The sequence below is a fragment of the Homo sapiens genome, chromosome 9 (genome assembly GCF_000001405.40).
Source record: "Homo sapiens chromosome 9, GRCh38.p14 Primary Assembly".
Classification (NCBI taxonomy): Eukaryota; Metazoa; Chordata; class Mammalia; order Primates; family Hominidae; genus Homo; species Homo sapiens.
The window spans coordinates 116,380,135-116,404,496 of NC_000009.12; the positions used below are offsets into that span (position 1 = coordinate 116,380,135).

General features: G+C 41.5%; 1 protein-coding gene and 1 long non-coding RNA gene across 4 annotated transcripts in view, besides 3 other annotated features; one reads left to right on the top strand and one right to left on the bottom strand.

Annotated features, from left to right (window-relative positions):
• The window catches only part of PAPPA (pappalysin 1), a 248,531-nt gene extending 226,344 nt beyond the window's left edge, over window positions 1-22,187 (top strand). For all 3 annotated transcript variants that reach the window (NM_002581.5, XM_017014784.3, XM_006717129.4), the window contains 2 exons: window positions 2,261-2,359; window positions 16,375-22,187. In NM_002581.5, coding sequence (NP_002572.2) covers window positions 2,261-2,359; window positions 16,375-16,482 — 207 coding nt within the window. In that variant the 3' untranslated portion in view covers window positions 16,483-22,187. The remainder of the gene's footprint in view (window positions 1-2,260; window positions 2,360-16,374) is intronic.
• Window positions 453-502: an enhancer, noted in NCBI's record as "active region_28883". NCBI's record gives its function as "activates an Ori minimal core promoter by ATAC-STARR-seq in GM12878 lymphoblastoid cells {active_cell/tissue: GM12878}" and the evidence as "EXISTENCE:reporter gene assay evidence [ECO:0000049][PMID:35858748]".
• Window positions 10,855-10,954: a silencer, noted in NCBI's record as "silent region_20220". NCBI's record gives its function as "represses an Ori minimal core promoter by ATAC-STARR-seq in GM12878 lymphoblastoid cells {active_cell/tissue: GM12878}" and the evidence as "EXISTENCE:reporter gene assay evidence [ECO:0000049][PMID:35858748]".
• Window positions 15,302-15,801: an enhancer, noted in NCBI's record as "H3K4me1 hESC enhancer chr9:119157715-119158214 (GRCh37/hg19 assembly coordinates)". NCBI's record gives its function as "activates a minimal SCP1, AML or CMV promoter by ChIP-STARR-seq in naive H9 embryonic stem cells {active_cell/tissue: H9 hESC(naive)}" and the evidence as "EXISTENCE:reporter gene assay evidence [ECO:0000049][PMID:30033119]".
• PAPPA-AS1 (PAPPA antisense RNA 1) lies at window positions 18,023-20,472 on the bottom strand. Its single transcript, NR_103711.1, has one exon. It is a non-coding gene; the product is annotated as a PAPPA antisense RNA 1 (long non-coding RNA).
• Window positions 22,188-24,362: the final 2,175 nt, after the last annotated feature.

Sequence of the window (24,362 nt, forward strand, 5' to 3'; positions counted from 1 at the left end):
TGTGTGATTATGTGATTAAAGTCTGTCTCTTCACCAGAGTATAAGGTCTGGAGGGGTAGGAACTATATCTATATTAATTCACTATTGCATCCTTTTCCTTAGCATAATGTGTAACACATCGTAGGAATTAAATACATAGGATGGAATAAGGATAAATGAATGGATGGATGGATGGATGGACGGATGGATGGATAGGTGGATGAAAGGATATGGTTGCAGGAAAGAACATATAGGGTAGAGTAACTAGTGATGGGACTGGAGAATTTTTTCAGGGCCAAATAAAGAAGTATCACCTTCATTTAATTTTTCTCTTTTCCCCTAGCTACTTCTTTATCAAGCCAGTTCCTTTTATTCTAAGGAAGGGACAATTAGTCTCCATCATTATTCTGTTCATTTATTACATAAAAAAGAACATAACCCACAGGCAGATCTCCTGAGGCAGGAAGGAAAAGAAAGGGTTTATTGTTTGTTGTTTGTTTATACCCCACTGCTCTAATGTGGATGTGATGTGTTCATTCTGGTGGTCACACAGCAGAGTCACACCTGAACCCACAGCCATATGCATGCACACCCACACAACTGAGCTCAGGTCTTCCTTGCTCTCAGAGCTCTGTCTAGCTGTGATCTTTTAGACTCTAGTAGTAGAGTGATGAAATGAAATCTGGCATCATGAGTTCAGGGTGAAAAGTTTCTGTGAGTAAGAATTTGGAACAGAGAGGCAAAAGCCAGGAATGCCACATGGGATGGAGCTTGGTTCTTTCTGGAGCAGTGAGGATGGGAAGGGGAGACCACTGGATCACAGATGGCATGCTTGGATGCAAAGGTCTTAAACAAATGTTGTCTCTTTCCCATGAATGAGTCACTGATCTTTAGAGACCCCAACCAGCACTTTAATCAGAGTGGTTTCACTTTCATCTGCTTTCTATATTGAAATGTCACACAATATGGCATTTGATGGTGAGGAGAGGGGTAGGTTCACTGTTTTGAGAAATCAATGGACTAATCTGGCCTCTTTATTTCATTAGTGGGAGTCCTGAGGCCTAGAGGAGATAAGGTCACTTAACCAAAACCATGAAGTAACCATCCCATTGGCTGAGGTTGGGAGGACTAGAACCCAGGTTTTCTCAATCCCTGCCAACTGCCCTTGCCACTATGCCGGTACAATTACATTCCACTTCAGAAACATTATTAAGAGCCAAAGTTGTGTGCAGCCTTAAATGAGGTGATTGGGAGTCAAAGACAAACTAGACATTGCCCATGTCCATGAAGAGCTCACAGTCTTGCACCAGCTACAGAAACATAAACAGACCACAGAATACAATGTGCTAGCGGTTGGGATGAGGAAATACAAGTGACTGGGGAATCCAAGAGACTCCTGGACTTTCCCCTAATAAGGCTCTGGGTTCAGATAAATAATGGCTTGACTCTATTATCTTTTCTTCATCTTGGGAGTGTCCTGGGGTGGAGAAACACACAGAAGAAAAGAAATAAATCAGTATATGCCAGAACAGCCAAGAGAGATGAAGTAAAAAACCATAGAGCCAACTTAGATTTAAATCACTTACTCTGACTGTGCCAATGTGATTTTGGGCAAGTCCCTGTCTTTGAGTCTCCGCATCTTCATCTGTAGAGTGAGAAAACCAATACCTACCTCACTTATTGTTTGGAGAGCAAAAGAAGAAAACAAACATGTAAAATGTGTGACATCAAGTACATCTGCCCTCCTTGTGAGAGGGAGCCCACTATCACACACAGACCATGGTGCCAAATTCCTATGAGTTCTTACATTTTATCTTAATGCTTCTTGGGCAGTTTACATTCAGCTTCCTAACATATTTGCATATATTTTATTACAAATTACGTTTTTAATTACATACTGCTGAAAAAAGTGGGAGAAGGAGGCTTACATTTCCTGGTCATTTCTTTGAGTAAAATGAGCCCTCTTTCAGGAAGATGTAAGCCATCTATTTTGTGGTTTTGCATACCCAAGCACACAAGAGTATGTCTCTCAGCATAACCATACTCTAGTTGGAAAAAACTGGGTAAGAGTCTTTATGAATGGTAGAAAGAAAGATAAGAGTCTTTATGAATGGTAGAGGTGATAACTCATTCAAGGGGGTGTTGGGGATGTGAAGCCTGGCCAGCTAATCGTGGAAGGCTGTGAAAAGATGACAGACACCCGAAGGACTGCAGACGTCAGCTCCCACTCACTCCAGGATGCTAACAAGGCCTCATTTCCTCCTTCTGTCTCCCTTTCCAGCCCTTCATGGGAGACAATTATTGTGATGCCATCAACAACCGAGCCTTTTGCAACTATGACGGTGGGGATTGCTGCACCTCCACAGTGAAGACCAAAAAGGTAGGCCAGTGTGCACTCCTCGGCAGCTGCCTCCTGCCCACTTCTCCAGCTTGTGGGGCCAGGATCACTCCTTCATGGCTGGACAACCCTTGTCCTAACTCTGCCAGCACTGTCCACACGCTTTATTTCTTTTTTTAATTTTTATTCTTTTGGTCAGTAGTTGAACTAATATCATAGGCTGGGCCCTGGTTGATTTTTGCAGATGTGGTTCTCAAAGCTTAGAATTGGGTACGGAAGCAGGTAATAAAACTGCAATAAGTACTTTCGGAAAGGAAGGACAAAGTGCTTGGGGGGCTAGGCAAGGGGTCAGAGAAGGCACTCTAGAGCAAGAGGCATCTGCACTGAAACTTGAGGGATAAGAGGAAGGGGTGAGGAGGTGGTCAAAAGAACGGTGTCTGGAGCAGGAGACTGGCATGTAAAATCCCAGTGAGAACACACATTTTTAGGGGGTAGGGCTGAAGTCTAGGAAACAGAAAATAGTACATCCCTAATGAGGTCATTTACAGTCTTTGAGCATTTTATTATCTATCTTATTTGTCACACCTGTAGAATTAGAGAAAGATGGTCATGGTCATGGTATTTTTTCTTTATATCAGGACACACCCAGGAGTGATTCAAGTGTTTATAGTAAACCAAAGAAAAACATTCGATAGATGCACATTAACCCCTCACAGAAAAGTGGCCACCTCCATTTTTCTCCGACTGCCGCTGAGACCAGAGTGAGGAGCCCCAGCCAAGGGTTGGGAGGGAGGTGGTAACCCTGCTAGCCTGGGCTGAGAAGCGTTCTTGTGATGAATGAGTTAATGGAAAACTATTTCTATTTTTATATTCATCTGCAGTCAGAGCTGAAAGATCATTTCATCTGTGTCATTTTAAAGAAGGGGGAACTGAGTTTCTGAGACAGGAAAAGCAAAGAATCATAGTCAATCATGCCTAAAGAGCCCTCTATGACTATCTTGGCCCAAACGCTTCATTTTATTAATAGGGGCACTGAGGCCCATAAAAGAGGAATGATTTGTCCCAGGTGACAAAGTGAATGATAGAAAGAGTGAGGTTCCTGGATTCCAATCCCAGTCCCTTTATTTTGCAACATCCTTAGGAGAGTTGGTTTCTTCAAGAAAGAATCTCTGACCCAAAATACAGGAACAAATGGGACAAGACCCAAGGAACACATTCTAATCAGATGGCTGTTAGTTACTGAATCTTTTGGTTGAGGAATAAAATTTCTGGGATTGTCCAGGATCAGTCAGTCCCAGGTGGGCAACAGTTTTCAGCATGCCTACCCTTCTTTGGTTTCGGTTTGGTTTTGATTTTTGATTGATAGGACACTGAAGACGTACAATTTTTGCTTAAGTAGAGAAAAATAAAATTCATTTTCTGTTAAGGAATTTTATCATTTTTTTCTAATTATGAAATAATGCATATTGGAAAATTCAGAAAGAAGAAAACAAAAGAATTCACTTATTATCTTAAAAACCAAAGAAAACCACTGCTTTTTATTTTGGTGTATTTTATTCTGTGAATTTTGTTAAGTAAGTGTGAGGGTATTTTTGTCGTCTGTGTATATATCACTGCCTTTCTAGCTTGCAATCTTGTTTTGCTTAGTTTTGTTTACTTAGCACAGGAAATCTTAGACACAAGAATTACTTGCGCTGAGCACAGTGGCTCACGGTTGTAACTCCAGCACTTTGGGAGGCCAAGATGGGTGAATCACTTGGGACCAGGAGTTGGAGACCAGCCAGAGCAACACAGGCAGACCCTTGTCTCTACACGTAATTAATAATAATAATAATAATAATAATAATAATAAAGTAGCCAGGTATGGAGGCACAGGTCTGTAGTCCCAGCTACTTGGGAAGCTGAAGCAGAAGGACCACTTGAGCTCAGAGAGGTCAAGGCTGCAATGAGCCATGATCATACCACTGTACTCCAGCCTAGGCGATAGGGTGAGACCCTGTCTCAAAATTTAAAAAAGTTCTGATAGTAGTATAAACTTCTCAGCTGTATTTTTTGCTGCATTGTTGTTTATTATATGGCTGTGATGTATGCTAATTTATGTAACCATTTACTTCAACTTTTATTTTTAACTTTTGGATTATTTCTTTTTTCTTATAATTTTAACTAAAATGATGCTCATGAGCGTCTTTGCACATAAAATACTTTTATAGCTCTAATTATTTCTTTATAGTTGATTCTTACAATTGGAATGCCAAGGGAGGGATGTAAGCATATTTAAGGCTCCTGATACCTGTTTCCAAATGAATATAGTGAACAATATTATCTATTTTCTTCCATTGGAGTCAGCCACCTTTGAACGTGAATGGACGATGAAGTTTGTATTTGAAATAGAAGTTTTTACAGAATTATGGCTCCATCTGACACCAACGGTTGGAGAAAGAGCAGCTCTGTTTAAAATAATGTTCCTATCTATTGTAACTTAGGTACTAAAATATAAAATATGAAGCTGATTTTTTGACAGAGAACTTTCCAAAATGGATTCCTCTCTCTACAGAGTGCATTGTGGGAATATGAAGTCATGAGACCAGCCTCGCCAAGATGGTGAAACCCCGTCTCTACTAAAAATACAAAAATTAGCCGGGTGTGGTGGTGGGCACCTGTAATCCCAGCTGCTTGGGAGGCTGAGGCAGGAGAATCACTTGAACCTGGGAGGCAGAGGTTGCGGTGAGCCGATATCGTGCCACTGTACTCCAGCCTGGGTGACAAAACGAGACTCCATCTCAAAATAAATAAATAAATAAATAAATAAATAAATAAATAAATAAATAAATAATAATTTGGAATCCACACCTGAACCTCAATCTCATGACTTCATAGTCCCACAATGCACTCTGTAGAGAGAGAATCCATTTGGAAAGTTCTCTGACCTCATGATCCACCCACCTCAGCCTCCCAAAGTGCTGGGATTACAGGCATGAGCCACCGCACCTGACCAGATTCCAAATTATTATAGTAACTTTACCGTATACATATATTTGAACACCAAGCCACCATTTTGGCTCTCTGTTCCCATACTCAGTTCCAGTGCAGCAATTTCAGACTCCCAGGCCCCAAGATAAGCACAGACTCTTCACTAAGGAACCCCAGAACCAGTTCTTTGCTAGCTCTGAATGCATTTCATACTGTTGTTTCCTCCTTGTCTACCCACATTATAAATGTAGTTAGGCTTTTTGTGTTAAGAAATCCTCTTCTTCCACTTTAAATTCTTGTTTCTTCTTGTTGGCTGAGGGTGCAGAATGCAGATGGCCAAGCTGCCTTCATCCAATGCGGTGAATCTCCATTGAGGATCTCTGTGTGCTCAGCACCAGACCAGGCTGTGGACAGTATTTCTGCCCTTGTGAAACGTGTAGTCTATTAGAGGAGCCTGTTATTAAGCAGGGAGCCACACAACTATTGCATTTAATTACTTTTGTGGAAGAGGCAATGATGAGAAAGTGTGAGATTTTATGGAGAACAGCATGAAGGTCCGAGAAAGCTTCTCTGAGGAAGGGACATTTACATGGAGATCTGAAGAGGGAACAGAGTCTTCCTGGTGGAGGTGAATAATGGTTGGGGGTAGAAGGGGAAAGGTCTCTTAAAACTGTACATGAAGTATGGATTAGAGAGACTAAGGGCCTCCTTTATGGCAGATAGGACTTTGCCATCATTATTTCAGTTGTGGACAGGTGTTTGGGGCTTTTCAGATGCAAGATTCCTAGAAGTCTTACTTCTGGAAAAGTGTCTCAGATTAAAGTCACACTTCCTACAATTTAGATTTCCCAGTTTGACTTTTAAGGGAACTCCAACTTCTTGAAACTTTTCTCCTCTTTCTTGGACACCCCCAACTACTCCCTGCAGTAGACTGGCTTAAAGGTGGTGCTAGATGGAGAAAATAAATAAGAACACAAGACTTCCCTAAGTGAACTATTGCATATTTCAGACACTCTGCGAGACACTTGGCCTCTGTTATCCTCTTTAATCCTCTTGTCAACACAGAGAGGTCACTATTCTTATTCCCATCACACAGATGAACCAGTCTGGGCTTAGAGTACATATGGGACTTGCCCAAGTTCACTTGGCAAATGAGTGGGGAAGCCCAAGTTTGAACCCAGTTCTATCTGACTCAAAAGTTCTGCTTTTTCTCCTGCATGGTGCTGAGTTTCAGAAGAAGAAAGCATGCAGGGTGCCTGTGTCCTTGGCACACCTTGGCATGACCCTCCCTGTTCTGGTTGGAAACATTTCACCATGAGCCCAGACTGCCAGGGAACTTTGGCAAAGAGGAGAGCAGCTTTTCCCAGTAGCAGCAAAGATGGGGTCGGGGGAAGATAAGTCTCCCAGCCTTCCCATCATCCCTGACATCCCTGGCAGCCCAGAGAGGAGTTTCCCGTGGGCATCCACAGAACAGAAGAAAGTTCTGGTTTTTGTTTCCATCTTCCACCGCAGGAAGCCTCTCAGAGAAGGAGAGAGGTTACTTTCCTTTCATGCCTCTGCCCTTACCTGCTGGACCTGTTTAGGTCCCACTTGTCCCCTCAGCCCCAGTCCCATATCAAGAGACAATCCCTTCCCTTACACACCCAGGCTAGCGCTCAGAGAAACTCACCCCTGGGTGAGTTTCAAGCACCTTCCTAAATCACAGGAATTCAGTTAACTGAGCACTTAATATGTGCTTCGCTGTGGCCTGGATCTCTGTGCATGTCATCTCACTTAAACTCCAGAATAATTCAGCCAAGTAGAGCACTGAGGTTGAGGGAAATGGAATAATTTGTACAAGGTGATAGAGCTATGTTTGGGATTTAGGATTTCCTAACTGAACAAATGGTAATAGCTAAGAGTTATTGCTTTGCTTTACATGTCGTTTCATTTCATCAGCACAATAACCCTGTTGTAGATGTTGTTCTTTTTTCTTTTTCTTTTGAGATGAAGCCTCACTCTGTCACCTACTCTGGAGTGGCTCACTTCAGCCTCAACCTCCTAATAAGCTCAAATGATCTTTCCACCTCAGCCTTCCAAATAGCTGGGACTACAGACACACACCATCACACCATGCTAATTTTCATATTTTTTGTAGAGAAAGCAGTCTCCCTGTATTGCCCAGACTGGTCTTGAACTCCTGGGCTCCAGTGATCCTCCAGCCTCAGCTTCCCAAAGTGCTGGGATCACAGATGTGAGCCGCCATGGACGGCCCTAGGCGTTATCTTTTTAATCCTCATTTTATAGATGATGAAACTGGGGCTTAGAAGGGTTAAATTCACACAGTTAGCAAGTGGTAAAGCTAAGATGCAAACCAAGAGAATTCAAGCTGCACAGCACCTGCCTCTAACCCCTTGGAACATCCTTTTGCAGCAGGCTTGTGTCTTGCCCAAGCGTCTTGTCCTGCCCCTTGTGGGTGATATTCTTGCTTCATAGACCTCCAGGAATGGAGTTCTTGGTATGAACTCCAGGCCCAGAGTTAAGCACTCAGCATCTTCTCCCAGACTTCCTTCTTGCCAGTTTTCCACCTAAACTTCTTCCCGGTTCCCAGGGCTAGGGCCTCCGTGATGCCTTGGCCCAGCATGATGACTGTCTGCTCCCTTCATTCTCCCTCCCTTATTTGTCTGTACAGACACCAGCTGTTCCCCACATCCGCCTTATGGGGTGACCTGGGCCCGGCTGGCAGACAAGAGCAAGACGGTGCAGGAAACTCTGTCTGACAGGGGTGTCCAATTTCCCACCCAGACACCTGCCTGCAGTGTGAGGCAGACAGGAAGGGGCAGGACTCAGCCTCTCAGGATGTCAGTTTATTATTTTCCTGTTGGAGCCTTGAGGAGCCTCAAATACAAAGCAGATTTCCAGAATGGTTGCTCCAGTGGTTTCCCTTCATGACAAAAAAAATTCAATTTATAATTGGAATCATTCTAAGTAAGCACGTGTTAGGGTGTGAGGGAGAAAAGGGAAACAACCTTAACATATTCAACATACCAAAGCTTTCTAAGGTGTGGTGGCCTGGAACACTAGTTGTGGTCATGTTTCAGATGGCTGCTAAGAGAGTGATTCTTATAGATGTCTGGGGAGTTGGGGTATAGTCCTGGTTCTGTGACTTATTAACTCTGTGACCTTGGGTAGGCCAGACTCACTTTGGGTTTTTATGTTTTGATATTTGAATTAGATTCCTGTCTAATAACTCAACATAACAAGGCTTTCTAAAAATGTGCCTAAGGACTCTTCACATGGCTTCCTGGATGAGTTGGTCATTGAGCAGGAAGTTGAAGGCTAGTTAAGACTGAGACCTACAGAGAATAAGAAGAGGTTAATCCCAGAAACACATCTCAGCACAGGATGGTGCACCCAATTCATGCAACTATGTGTAGGGCTGGCTGCAATATTTGCTAAATGACAGATTTACTAAATCTTAAACCCTACCTAAATGAGAACATGGTTTCTTAAGAAAAGACATTATACCCAACATGTAGCACATTGGTCATTGGTCTAAGAAGGCTAGTGATTCTATAAGATATGGAAAAATAATCAACATCATTACATGGAGAGCAACCTTCTTAGCAGAGTGGGTGATAACCTACATTGACAAAGGGCTGGATGTTGGGTAGCTGACTTGGGGATGTACATCAGTGTCTCTTCTTGACCTAGCAGCCAGAATAATCCTTTTTTTTTTTTTTTTTTTGGAAACAGAGTCTCACTCTTGTCACCCAGGCTGGAGTGCAGTGGCATAATCTTGGCTCACTGCAACCTCCGCCTCCCAGGTTCAAGCAATTCTCCTGCCTCAGCCTCCAGAGTAGCTGGGATTACAGGCACACACCACCACACCTGGCTAATTTTTGTATTTTTAGTAGAGACGGGGTTTCACCATATTGCTCAGGCTGGTCTTGAACTCCTGACCTCGCAGAATAGTCCTTTTAAATCCAGTCAGATCATATCACACCTCAATGCAAAGACATACAGTTCCTTCCCATTTTACTTGGAATGAAAAACCAAAGTTTTCCCAATGCCTACAAAGCTCTTGGGAAAATGTGGGTGCTTTGCCCACCCACATTGCTTCTCTGACTTTGCCCCCTTTCCACTGTCTATGCCTTTTCTTATTCACCTCTGGCATTCTGGACCCCTTGCTATCCTTAGTTCAGCTCAGGCATCCTTCTACTTTACAGCCTTTGTCACTGTGTCACTGGCAATTTCTTTGGCTAAGAACCCTCTTCTATTCATCCTCATGACTCACTCCTTCACCTCTTTCAAGTCTTTGCCCAAGTGCCATGTTCTCAATGACTCCAACCCTGACCACCCAACCCACATCACCCCTGGCACTCCCACACTCATTTGCTTTGCCTTCTGTTTTTTTTTTTCTTTCTTTCTTCCCTAATACTTATCACCCTGGCACACACTATAAAATATATTTATTATTTATGATCAGATGACCCCTACTCCTCTTGATGCTAGAATGCAGAATTAATGAGGATAAGAATGTGCTTCTTGTTTGTTTATTGATATATTCAAATTTCCAGTGTACCTCATTGTTTCCTGTCCAATAGTAGGTACTCAACACCCACAAATAAATACTTTTTGCATGAGTGAATTTAGGGTATTACCTGCTGTGTGACAGATACTGTACTAGGCCATGAGCAAGAACTTGGTCCCAGCTGAATGAATTCATGTCTTATGGATGAGTAGCCAGACATTTAGAGTATAGCAAGTACTCATGGAGACACAGCAAGTCAGGAGGTCAGCGAAGTTTCCCAGAGAAGGCAACACCAAAGGCAATAAATGAAAGGTCCAGAAGGTATTTCCCAGATGAAAGGAGTAAGGAAGGACCAGAGATAGGGGTGGGAGGGAAAAGGGTATCTTTGGCGAGAGGAACAGTCTGTGCAAAGGCCCAGACACCAGGGAAAGTGTTAAGGAAATTATAATTCCCTGAGTATGCCCAGAGCATGGTGCAAGGGGAAAAGGGATAAAAGATAAGCCTAGATGGATAAGCAAGGCTTTTATCACCCAAGCCAGGGAGATTGAACTTTATCCAGAGGCCAGTGGGGGGTATTCAGGAGGATTTGAAGCACTGAGCCAGTGTAGGGAATCCCAGAAGGCCTTTTGGAAGAGAGAGTAGATATGCTTAACTTGGAGGATTAGTAAGAGACAACAAGCAGATGGCTAAGCACACTAGACTAACTCTTCCATGTTCAAAAATTACTGGCTTCTGGAATGTTATTAAACCCTCTGCCTCCCCCTGCCCCCCGCTTTGGAATGTAGCCCTGACTTTTTCCTTATGGATGAAGTAGGCACTCATTTTAGCTTGGTCCTATGATGGAATCCAGCCCTTCTATCCCAAAAACTTATCAGCATCATTATCAATGTTATTACCACCACCATCATCATCATTACCTCACTGTCAAAACCATCACCACCATCACCACTAGCATCATCATTTATTGAGCCCATATTTTATGCCATGCATTATTCTAATGCTTTACTTGCATTTCATACTTTACCCAACATACTTCTGTGTGGTAGGACTGTTAGTACCTCCTTTTTACAGATAGAGAAACTGAAGCCCAGAAAAGGGAAGTAACTTGCCGGATAGCATACACGAAAGTCAGCAACAGGGCAAAGACTCAAACGTGTCTTTTTCTCCTCTAGGCCAGTGCTTTCCTCTAATTTACCCATATTTTTTCCACTTTATCCTCCATTTATCCACATGACCACTTTATCTTCATTTAAACAAGCTTCGTATACATTAACTGTTCCACGTTTTATGCCAGGTACTGTATCCATCCTACCTTTAAGAAACTTACAGGGGAATCCTCGTCCTTGGCATCATGCCTTTATCTACTTGGTACTCATGAAATCTTTCCATCAGCACTGTCAAGACCCTAAGACTCAACCAGGTGAAGTGACCTGCCAGTGATGTGGCCCCCCACAGCCAGCAGGAGACACAGTCAAAGCTCTCTGACCATCAGCACAACATGACTGTTGTCCCTCTCCAACCGGCACCCCCACCATGCTCTGCTAGTTACCTCCCTGTGGAGTCTGAGTCAGAATCCAGCCCCTGCATGTCTCTCAGCTCTGGACAGGATCTGCAGCCAGGGCCTTGTGGTATAGTTGCCTGAGCTGCATTCCTGAGCCACTCACACTCACAGATGGAGGTGTTAGCCTCAGCAGCTCACCCAGAGGGAGAACCCATGTGCCGGAGCACCATCTCTAGCCCCGAGTAAAAACAGGAGAGAATCCTGGCCCTTAATCATGGACCTGGCTTGCTAACACAATCCCAGAGTGGGTGGCCAAGCCATTTATGGGACAGCCTAGCCACATGGTGCTGAGAATCCCCAAATGTAAACTGGCCACCATGGTGTTCATGCTGTGGGTGGTAGGTTTTCTTGGGAGGCCGCCTGGGGGAGAAGGTGGGGAGCTGCTTGGGGAGTCAGGGAATCTGGCAGTTGGGCTCAGAGCTCTGATTTTATCAAGATGTGATTCTTCTCTCCATGCCTCAGTTTCTTCGTCTGTGAAGAGAGGACCCTGACTCCTGCTCTGCCGTCCTCCTGGGGCATGGTGCTGAGGAGTGCCAGGCCACCTGACAGCCCACTGATTCATCTCTTTGCATCTTAGTTTCTTTTAAGATGTAAAATGGGGATAGTAAGAATAGTTACCTCTTAGCATTGCTGGGCAGAGTGAGTAAGATAATGATGCACATTGAGTTTAGCTCAGTGCCAGGCACATAATAAGGATAAAGGTTATTGGTGATTAAAAAGACAAAGCAGCAGTCAGCCTTTTCAGGTTGTGAAGAAAATACCTTTTTTTTCCCCCTTCTTTTTACTCTCACTTGCTGAAAAGCTCTCAAGTGTTTGAAGTGGGGTTTGGAATCCTGCATCACCAACTCACTGACTGGTACTGAGGCCTGAGACAGGTTAGTTTTGCTTTAAACATTCTGAAGCCTCTATTTTCTCATCTGCAAGATGGGGAGCTAATAATGATAGTCTCCCAAGGTGGTGCAGAGTCAGAGAGCTAGCATATAGAAATCATCTGGCATGTGGAAGGCCCTTTGGAATCACTAGTGTGTGTACAATGGTATTCACCGCTTGAGCCTGCATGAACAGGTGTCCCCAAGTCCTTTCCAGGTTAGACCTAGCAATACCTGAAAATCTCCACCCTTTTCTTCTCAGCTTTATATCTGTGATAAGTGAGGAAGCTTGTAACAGAGGAGGCTCTGAACAGGCAGTTCACAAAGAGGCAAGAGGAGGGAAGAAAACACCATGTGTCTCCTCTACATTGGGCACTCTGAGAGCTGGACTGGACCTGACATGACTTCACTGACTCCTCACTAGAGCCCTTCGAGGTCTTGATAAAGACCCTTGTCTTACAGATGGGGAGGCTGAAGTCCACAAGATGCCAGGGACTTGCTGAAAGTCATACAGTTTCTGTATAAAGTCTACAACATATTACTTACAAGCATGTAGTGGAGACAAGGAGGCTCTGGATAGGCCTCCTGAGACCAACCCTCCTAGGCTTTGTCATATTCTGATTGAGTTTCCTCCAGTGTTTATTTCGGAAGTGCTGAAACTGCCCAGACTGGCCTGGGGAAGGAAGAAAAAGGTGACACCACCCCAGCATAGCCAGAGTGCCAAGACCGGCCTGAGAAGCTAACTGGTGGCAAGGCCTTACCAGCCAACAATTTTGGAGAAGCTGATTGAACTGGGGAGGACAGGAAGGGGAGCATTCAAGACAGGGTCTGTGAAGAAATTCTATGTTTCAAGTTCCTTTCTGGCCAGGTCTTTGCCTTCTACCTTTCTCAGACTGAGAAGGATTTTCAGCCAGATGAGAAGTTAGAAGCTATGAAAATCAACTCTTATTATAGGCAGGGAAACAAGCTCAGAGAAGGGAAGTAACTTGTCCAAAGTCACCCAGCAACTGACTGTAAAAGTGGAGGCTCCCTGACTTGTATTCTGCCTGCATATTCATGCATTCATTTGTTCATTCATTCATGGGTCATTGAATGCATAAAGACTGAGTTCAATAACAGTCATGGTCCCTGCCCAGAGTGAGCTGACATCGAAGTAAAGAAGTAATTCAGTATCAGAAGGGTGCAAAAATAAGATGCTGTGATATGGTATGAAGGTGATGGTGCTATTAGGTTGGTGCAAAAGTAATTGCCGTTTTTACCATTACTTTCAATGGCAAAAACCACAATTATTTTTGCACCAACCTAATATCTTTGGTCAGACTACTGAGGGAGGTAGTGATACTTGCGAAAAGACCTGGACAATGAAAAAGAGCTGGCCAGGGAAGAGCAGTCAGAGTGGAGGGCCATTAGTGGCTAAGGACACAAAAGTAGGAAAACAGAGTATCTGGGGAACCAATAAATAAAGAAGCCACTGAGAGTGAGGAGGAGAAGGAAACCATGTAAGATCTGAGACTTATGTAGAAATCAGATCATGCAAGGCCTTGAACTTGTGGTAAGGACTTTGGATTTTATTCTAAGACATATAATTTTTTGAATGTTTGCCTTGAGTGAGGTGCAGCAGAAAGCACAAAAGATAAAGCAGACAGACATGAAACCATCCCTCATGGGTGTTTGAGCTCAATGGGAAAGTGTTACAGACAGAATATTAGAGAAGACATTAGAGGTAACTGGATCGTGCTAATGATAGAATGAGAGCAAGGGTAGGAGACGGGGATGGATAAAGCATGGGGGAGTTAAGGACAAGGAGATTGTTCAAGTGTGGAAGGTGGGCGGTGGGGGACAATAGGCAGGAAAGATCGTGAAATACGAGTGAGGGAGAAATCTGATTCAGCATATATGTATTTGGCACTGAGCATCTCAAGGGTGTTAGGCCATGTGCTGAGGCTTTTGCATGTTTCTTCTTGCTTGATCCTCAGAAAAAATGCAACATGAAATATGGTATTTTAAAAATCCTCCTTTCATAGATGTAGAACCTAAGATCATGACAGTGGAGGGATTTTCCCAAAATCATTCAACGAGTATGAAGCAAACAAGGATCCCAACCCAAACCTTTTGGCTTTCATGATAGTACTTTCCACACTCTACCCCAGTGGTTGGATTTTGACTTGGCTTTGCCCTCAGTTTCCCTGTTTGGACTGGGGGGTTTTCTCTCTATGCCACTTCCAGTTCTAATATTCTGTGCTTCTCTTCAAGGTAAAATGAATAGGGGCAAATATTCTAGATTCTAGATGGAATATCCTAGATGTATTCCACAAAGTCACAGAGGATGGAAAGTAAATGTCCTAAACAGAGAACAGCAAGTAGCTGTGAGCAAGAAGAGAGGTGCTGCTTGGAAAAGGGGACGGTGGAAATGCTTACCACAGCATCAAGCACTTATGAATTTAAATTGAAAAGAGAAACAAAGACTTGTGGTAGCCATAAGTACAAAGAGTCAGAGAGAGATGGATCAATGAATACAAATTTATTCATTCTGTGGCTTAGGGCCTGTGAAAACAGGAATAAACAAGATTGACCTGGTCCCTGCCTTATGGGCCACAGAATTGGTGGGAGGATAGACCAAAAAAATAAAGGAGAGGGAGCGGGAGAGAGAAAGAGACAGAATAATTGAGCACTTAGCATATGTCAAGCACTGTGTGAGGTGTTTTCATGAGTTATTTCATGTATTCCTTATCACAACCTCAGGAGGTCTACACTTTTATTTTTCCCATTAAATGAATGAGTTCATTGAGACTCAGAGAAATTGTCACATGTTCAAGGTCACATCTCAAGTAGATGAGAGAGCTGGGGCATATACTTAAATCTTTCTGATGTTCCATTCTACATTTTAAATTATTGCAAACTTTCAGGATGGAGAGAGGTTGGGAGGGAGGGAAAGAGGTCAAAGAGGCAGAGAAAAAAGAAGAGGTAGACATTGAGAATGAGTCCACAAGTACATGAGAGAGAAGGATAGAAACAAAGATTCTCTCTGAGACTACGTGACCACTTGGAGACCCTGCCCAGGCAGGAGGCAAATGAGGTCATTAAATCCATCTGCGCAGATGGGAGGCTCTCTGGGGAAAGTTATATGCAAATGTCATGATGCAATGAGGTGAAATCTACTTGCGTTAGTTCAGGTGGGGACTCAAGCAGGAACTGCACTGTGCTCTTTGGAAAGATAGATTATCTCCTGGATGGGGAAGACACTCACTCTGTTGGGCTCTTCCTATCAGTTTGCAGAAAGGAAAGCTGGCCAAGGTCACAGAGCACATGAAGGAACGAACTGGCAACTGTATTGAACTCAGTTCTCTCACTTGTTCGTATGCTAAAATCTGCTTCCCAGGTCCTTCAAATTTGGTGCAAAACCACCATGCGATCTATTCCCTACTCAGGATTCCAAGCCTCCCAGAAGGTGGTCTAGCTTCCCTGAGACATGCTTTTTGTTTTCATCATTGCCTACTAAAGTCAAAGTGACCAGTATGTGCAGAGACTTATGTTTTCTCAAAAGACACTTCCACATCCTTTCTTTCACTTGATCACTTATACATCAGATATTCCATTACACAGTTCTATTAATCAACTTTGCTACAGTGCACGACAATTTTCCACCCATGATTTTACTCAGCTCCTATAGTTTAAAATACAAAGTGGGTCTTATTATATCAGCTCTACATAGGGACCTGAGGCTCTGAGATAAGTAAGTAGCTTGTTTTACTTTAAATACCAGACTTGACACTTATTATTACTTTTGGCAAATTCTTATTCCTTTCTGAGCTTCAGTTTCCCCATCAATAAAAGGGTGATTGTTGCAGCATCTGTCTTATAGAGTTGTCAAAAGTGTTTTCTTGTTTGGAAATCACTGAGTACATTGCCTTACCCCATAGCAAATGCCTGACCCATAGCAAGTGCCTCTGCAAATGAAAACTGCTGTGATTATGATCATGGTGTGCTCGATAAAAGTTATCACCAGGATAGCAAGAAGCAGAGCCATAACTTGAACTTGAACCTTCTGCTCCTCAAATCCAGTGATTGTATCCCTGCGCTGCACTGCCTTTCTGATCATTACTGCTTCAGACCAAATCACCTGATTCACTTCTTCTTTCTGCAGGTCACCCCATTCCCTATGTCCTGTGATCTACAAGGTGACTGTGCTTGTCGGGACCCCCAGGCCCAAGAACACAGCCGGAAAGACCTCCGGGGATACAGCCATGGCTAAGGAAGGACAAGAAGTTGTCAAAGAATTCCCAACGCCAGGACCCACATCCCTTTGGTATTGATTTCACAGTCAGCTGCTCAACGGAATGGCCTCTCCACACCAGGGATCCTTAGCACCCAACCGGTCTGCCTTTAATTTTACCCAGGAAGGACTCACATTGGGGCGAATGAACCAAGTTTCGCCATGCTGGATGATGAAATGGATTCCCATCCCAAAGTCTGAGATGGATTGCATATACAGTGTGCAGTCCCAGAGCCTCCTAAAATTCTAGCCATTTGTCACACAACCACAGCAAGAAACGTGTTCTATATCTAGAGTGTGCCCATCTGTGTTTAGTACACATGCATGCATACACACCCATACAAACATCTGTGTGAGGGCAGTTCTGGAGATGAGCAGAGAGAGACCGGAATAAACTCAATCTTTTCTTTCCCAAGCTCCTAGCCAACACTATCCTTGGGAGAAAGAAATTTGCAGAAACTGCTAAGACCAAGTGTGGAGATGTCAAGCTAGTTCACACTCTGAGGCTCAGAATATGTAGGACATGCACAATTGTGCAGTCCTTTGGGATTGGAAGTGAAACAGTCTGTGATCCCCTACCTTCTAGGGAACTAGGACCTAGGAAGAGGTAAAGATTATCAGGTATGCAAAGCGCCCCAATTCTTCTGCTGCCATGGGGGATTTTACCCCAACTCCAGGGTTCGAGGCCAATCTGAGAATGGCTTAGGATTGCAATGTCAAGGTATTATATCAGCCCCTTGCTTGAGGCTTGAGGTCATAATATCCCTCTAGGACTTACCTGTTCCCCCAGATCTTGCCTTGGGACCACATTTGCTGCTACTTTTCCTGCTGCTCTATCCTATACATTGAATAATCCAAGATGGTAGAACTAGGTTAGGAAAAATTCCACACAACCAAACAGTCTGCCTTAAAAGTGACCCACATTTTTCCATAGCTCCTCACTTTTTAGCCCTTCTGCAAGAGAAAAACCCTCATGGGTCCACATGGTGAGAAGTTAAGTTTCCTGTAAGTGGGCCTCTCACCCTGGAAAGGAGTTGAGGGACATCAGATGCTGGAACCCTCACTGAAAGTCCAGAATGTCTAAGCCAGTGTTAGATTTTGTAAACAAGTGGAACAGTGTTAAATTTCTATGATGTTGGAGCCATCCAGAGACTACTGGAATTGTCGAGACTTTTGGATTATTATCCTTATCCTTATCCTAATCTTCCTAGCCCTTCAGGCTAGAGTAGGCTTTGATCCTGAGAACCTTGCTGTTGCTCTGAGGAGATATAATTCTGGGAGAAAGAATCTTTTATAAGAACAGTACAGATTGTTCTCAAGAGGGCCATCAGAAGGAAGCCAAAGAGTTCACAGCCTCAGCACCAACAACTCAACATGGTCATCATGTTTTCTATATGGTTTTTCCAGCTAGCAGTACTCCCTTCCATACCTGTGACTGGGCAGTGCTTTTCTCTCTCCCATGTCTAGCCTCCAAAAGTTAAGTGAAAATTAGTCAACTGCACGTGGAAGCCCCCACCACTTTGGGGATCTCTTTATTTCTTTTCAGCCAGGGACCTGTCCACTCCCTTTGAATTAATATGGGAAGAAATTAATACAGGATGAACTGGAGAGAAGGGTTGAGTGTGGCATACTTTCTGAAACCTGGAGCTGGGAATTGCGGAGAAGGGAAGGTCTAGACTAGTTACATCACATAGGGATTACTGTAAATCAAGTCATCTCAAGTCTAGTGAAGACAGCCAACAGAAACAAAACCTAGCATAGGGATAGAAAATACCATGCACGTGTGCAGCCCCACCTAATTCCTGCATCCAAGGCAGGTGTTGTTAATCTATCATAGCACTTAAAAAAAAAAAAAAAAAGAGACCAAAAATAACTTTAGGAACCACCATATTATATCACTCCCAATAGCACTGACCTGGTGATCAAAAACACTTGAGAAGACATCTATTGGCCATCTCTGGCCAATTACACTAAGAAACATATCAAGGTGCTTTTGGCACAGGTGCCCACAAATACGGATGCAGTGCTGAGATAGTTTATGAGACTTGTACCATTTCACAAACTCTGAAATTGGGTTCCATATTGGCAAGGCTGCCACAGTTGTTAAGAATAATCCTCTATGTTTCTTCCTCACAAAACCATATCTCATTTATATCCAGACCATTACTTCACTATAATTACAAGGACAAATTATTAGCAAGAAATAAGAATAGTATTAGAAGAATTGATCCTATTTTGAACCCCTCTCCAGTATCTTCACACTCTTGTCAACTCTCCAGGCCTCTCTCTTGCCCTGAGTTATCAGCCTGTGTGGTGTTAACTACCTTAGAAGGTACAAGCTAAGAAATGTAACAGTATCAACCCTCCCAGTTGCTTAATTATACCCATAGGTAATACAAAAAGCTCTGAAGACCCAAAGATGACATTACTAATGATGTGATTTCAGGAGCCACAGAAGAACCTTACCAGCTTCCCTCAAATCAGTCCTTATCCTCTTTCTATCTTCACTCCCATCATCATCTATTTTCACACTATCCAGCTAAGCAAAGATTCCTGGAGGCTGACTTGTATCTTCAGACTCACAGAGTGAATTCAGCTCTTCTGAATCAAGACCCACCCAGTCTCTTTCATTCAGACCTGTTGCTAACAAATTTATATTTGCCAAGGATATTAGGCAAAAGAGGCTACTTGATTGGTGGCCAACCTCGTGCCCACATGGAAGGTATCTTTAATAGGGTCTTTTCAAACCTTAGTGGAGGAGGGTCAGCTCAATTTGGGCAATGCATTTGTTCCCAGTTTCATTTTCTTCCTGGGAATTAACTCGTCATTTCATTCCTTCAGTCATCTTCTGTGTAGGTGACCGGAGCACTGAGAGGCAGCTCTGATGCACTATTGTGTGTCAGCAGCTCAAAGGCCCTAAAACACTGAAGGTTCTGCATCTGAAGTATTAGATTGTTAGCAGCAAAATATGAAAGATGAGGTGGACAGTCCTCTAAGCCCTATTTAGGGAAGCTTTTCCAAGCCACAATCTTAACTACCTACCCAAAGGATTTGCATTACCCCCAGATTCTGTGCCAACAACCTTTTAAGGAAATACAGTCCTTGGGAAATGAGTTTTGATGGTGAATTGGGGTGTTAAGGAAGGGAAAGATTGTCATAGATGGTAGGGCTTTGAAAATGCAGGGTATCAGCTGCCACTCCTGGCTTCAACACATTGAGTCACTGCCTAGACGGTTCTCTTGGTCTTATTCCCATCCTGGCCAATGCTTAAATACTATTTGTTGAAAATAATTCTTTGAGACAGATTTCAGCTACCTCCCTTCCAGGTTCGATTTAACTTGGTTGTAATTGTCAATTTGTTGTTATAGGTCTTACCTGTGTGAAAGAAAGAAAAAGAAAGAAAGAAAGAAAGAGAAAGGAAATTATAAGGTCAAGTTAACAGTTTTGAGGTTTTGTGTTTTTTTCTGGAACTACTTCAAGTGAGAAAATAAAAAAAAATGGTGACAAAGCTGTACAGATAGAGATAATAGAAGACAAAGAGATTAAAAGGAAATAAAAATGCATGATTAAAAACTAAGAATAAAAAACCTATTTTTATGTTTCCTAAAGGAAATTGTTTATTCTACAGCCTCAGTAGGTAGACACAAACATAAAGATTTCCCTAGAAGACATAGAGTGGGATTTGATAACACTGTCTGTTATTTTCTGTACATTGTGGTAGGTCCAGGAAATATGACATTTTCCCCCTTGATGTGTTATTGTTGTTGTTGGGTGGGGTGGGCATTTTGTTTATTTGTTTGGTGGCAATCAGTGGTAGTAGGGAGTGGGAGGGCTTATATTGGTTTTTCCAGCTATTAAGGGGACATATTGTGTCGTTGTGCTTTTCACGTTATAAAATGTTTATATTTACCAGTACAGCACTGGGCTTTATAAAGACTGCACTCAGAACCACACTGCACAGTCCAGTTTTTTAAAAAGCTGCTACATGACAGACAGGTAATCCCACTGAGTGAGTTTTGAGAAACAAATCAAACGAAGTAAACAAGAAACATAAAAACCAAATAGCAAATGAATAAAAGCCTGTTCTTGTAACTTATTCAACTTTTGCCAAATTCCTACCAATCACTTGCTTTTTAAAAGAAATGTATAATAGCCAAAAGAGAAATTATGTCCCTGTTGTACAGAAGTTAGAATTTTTGACTCCAGGCAGCAGTTTGCTCAGTGATCTTGAACAAGTTATCCAATTGCCTCTACATTTGCATCAGTTTCTCTAGCTGCAAAATGGGGATAATACTATATACCTACCTCACAGTGGGAGGGCAGGAGATTTTGAGGCCCTGAGGTTTTAGGTGGGCTGTGAGGGCCAACGCTTGACACAAAGTCCATGGGTTATTATTCAAGAATGCACAGGCCCATCGGCCTTTTAGAAAGACAAGACAGGGAGTGCTTGTTTGATATTTCAAGGAATAAAGCCGGAGCTCCTGAATTGTAGTCCACCTTAAAAGAGAGACCTGTATTGGAGAATATTTTATTTTTTTGGCAAATTTGATCTTACCCTTTACCAGTTCTATAATTTGGTTAAAAGCTGATTATGTCCTACAATGTCAAAGTCAGCTAACTGTCGTCTACTTAAGACTTCTGGTCATTTCCAACTTATAGAGGAAGGGAGTCTCTAAAATCTCTTCTTCAGAAGGCACCTCACTTCTCAGACTTAAAATTCCACATCAAGTGTTCCATTAAAAGAAGATAAGGCATTCTGAGTGCAAACAAATGGGGGCTTCTTAAACTACACACCAGCAGTCAGTGAGGAAAACTTTGAACAATTATTGAGTTGCTTTCTTGGGTCTCTATAATCAATAACCTGTCTGCAGATATCTATCTATATAAAGATATTATATATAAATATAAATTTACATATATATGCACATGTATATATAGTTGTACATATATGTGTGTATATATATACTTAAATGTAATATTTACAAAATAAAACTGTGATCTCGTCTAGAGAAAATGTATTCATATTACAAACTGCTCTTCCATATTTATGTACCATATTATACCTTTTTATTATTGTTATAATTATTATGGGTATTTCTAATTAATATGATGTTGAAACCTGTTTGGCACCTTCTGGAAGCTACCAAAAAAATGACACTCCATTGAAGTGCTTAAAAGCTGTTCTCATAAGAATTCTTCTGGCCTATTGTAAAAAAGAAAAAAAAAAAGAAAAAGAAGAAAGACACAAAGAAAATAATCTAAACACCAAAAACTAAACACAATTCCAATCCTTTTTCTGTACCTCACGCGCATAAATTTGCTGCTCCTATTTTTTTTTCTGTTTATGTGTTTTTATGGATCTAAGTTAAATCTTTTGGCAATATATAAAAATGTAAATAGTAAACTTTATTTATTAAGAATGTCATCTTTTTTAATTTATATTTACACAATTGTTCATCTAATTTATTTTTTCTATACAGTTTTAAATACTCAGACATATTTTGCTGTTCATGATATTTTTATCCTGTTCTCATGGATTTGTTTTCCCATACTGTTTTCTCTGATCTCAATTACAGGTTGGATCTCACAAATAATAATGTCAGAGACAGAAATATTTTGCCACTGTTGATTACTATACTTTAAAGTTCTATATTATGAAAATATATAATAGCTTGTACGCTTCAGTGTGTTGTTGTGTGGTTTTTGTGTGTTGCGGAATGATAAAGGGCTGTCATATATACACGCTAACATGGAGAGAGCCCTGGGGCCTGGAATTAGACAATCAATGATAGAACAAGATTTTATCCAATATATATCGATTCCTCTACAAAATTAATTCCTGAAAGTATCTAATTTTGCATATGCAAAAACTGAAAAACTTTCTTACATGTTATAAGAAAGTTCTGGGGAGCTAAAGCATATGTCACTCTTGGTTATATATTGCCTTTTGCACACAGCCTTTAATAATATACTTCCAGATGTAAACACTGGTATGGTCCAAAGACACAAACCAGTGCAGTGGTTCCCAAGTGCTAAGCTGTGGATCAGAGCTAGTTCATAACTAAGTTTTCATTTGTCTAAGGCAAAATGTGGGGTCAATTGTTCATTCTTGTGGAGTTCTATCTTTTAAGATGAACTCTTTCTTACTCTTCCGGTATTAAAATGTCATATTTTATATACATATATACACACAATATATGCATATGCAGGCTCATATATACATATATATATATATATATGTATCTCCACACACACACACACACACACACACACACATATATATAATTTTACATATGTGAAAATGAGCCTGCAGCTGGAACTGAAATGTTGCTGCTTTCAATCTGTCTAGTGTATCTCACTGTTCATCTTATCACTAGGTAGTAGCTATGAGATTTTTAGAAAATTATTTAATGGCTTTAAGATTTAGTTTTCCCATATGTGATATGGAAATAATAAAAGTATTTCATAAGGTTTTTGCTAGAATTAAATGAGATAAATATGCAAAGTGTTTAGAACAGTGCTGAACATATTATATTATCTCATTATGAGTAGTATGAGACCAGAATTACTTATGACAAGTAATAATACACTAATTTTTCTGATATCTACTTATTTTATAAGATAATAGAAACAAAATGCATGAATCATTCAAGAGCTTGCACAGGCATTTTATGTAGTAAATTTATTAGCACTGTCCACTGAGCTGCTAGCTGGCAGTACCACCATAAGGCAGGTCAAAATATGTGTTTATCTGCTGATAACTACATTTTGAATTTTTCACAAAAAGGCTGTGTGGGAACATCAATGTGAATTATGTGTAAGGGCAGGGATAGGGAAGTCAAGAACTACTCATAGTGGGGTGGCTTTTTTTTGGACTCTAAAAATATAACTCATGGAGAAACATTAGGGAGACTACTAAAAAAGAAAAAAAAAGTCATTGCTAAATTCTTCCAGATAACTGGTTATTTTCAAAGTAAAATAATTGACAAAAGAAAAATATTTTACACAGTTCTATTCAATGTGAAGATTGAAACAACATTTAGACAATAGGCTCCTGAAAAGAGGCAAATATTTCTCAAACAGAAAGATTAAAAGATGAGAGTTTTAATGTGGCTTTTTATATTCCTTGGTTTCGTCTGAAGAGACAAAAAGTCATGGGGCAAAGAGCTTCCTACTTCAAGATGAAAGATCTTTATCCCAGTATCTTCTTCCATCTTTCTCCAGCCCTAAACACACACACACATGGACACACACGCACGCACATACACGTACACAGACACACACACAGAGTAATGGAGAGCTCACTGGACTTTATTAATCTGTCAAATGGGAAATTATTTCTTTCTCACTTCAAAGTAGGCAGAAATATTCAGTATTTTGATTCATTTATATTTATAATGCAAGTTTTGGAGTTTGTCTATCCAAAAAAAAATAATGTTTCAGTTTAAAAAATTTGGAGGGGGCACTCTATTATGCTGCACTGGCATTAGTAAATCTATTCAGTTCTTAACCTTTAACACCAGAAATAAAAAGTTTGGACAAAAGCACAGACTCTCTAACCTTCAATCCATAAGAACCCTTGCTTCTTTGAGTAAATGCTTTAAATTCTAAAGGAATGATGTTTAAGGTGAGAAACAGCGGTGCTGTACAGAAGCATGAGTTAGCAATGGGGGAAACCAAGTTCAAGTACTGTCCACCCTGTGACTTGGGCAAGGCACTGACCTTTTCAGAGACAGAAGGAATTGGCAATGAGAAAAAGCAGGTGGTGTGTTTAAGCAAATGGAACCAGCAGGTGCGTCCTTCTAAGTAAGAAAAAGTGTGACACTTTCAAAGAACTGAAAAAAAAGCCAATGCGTTTA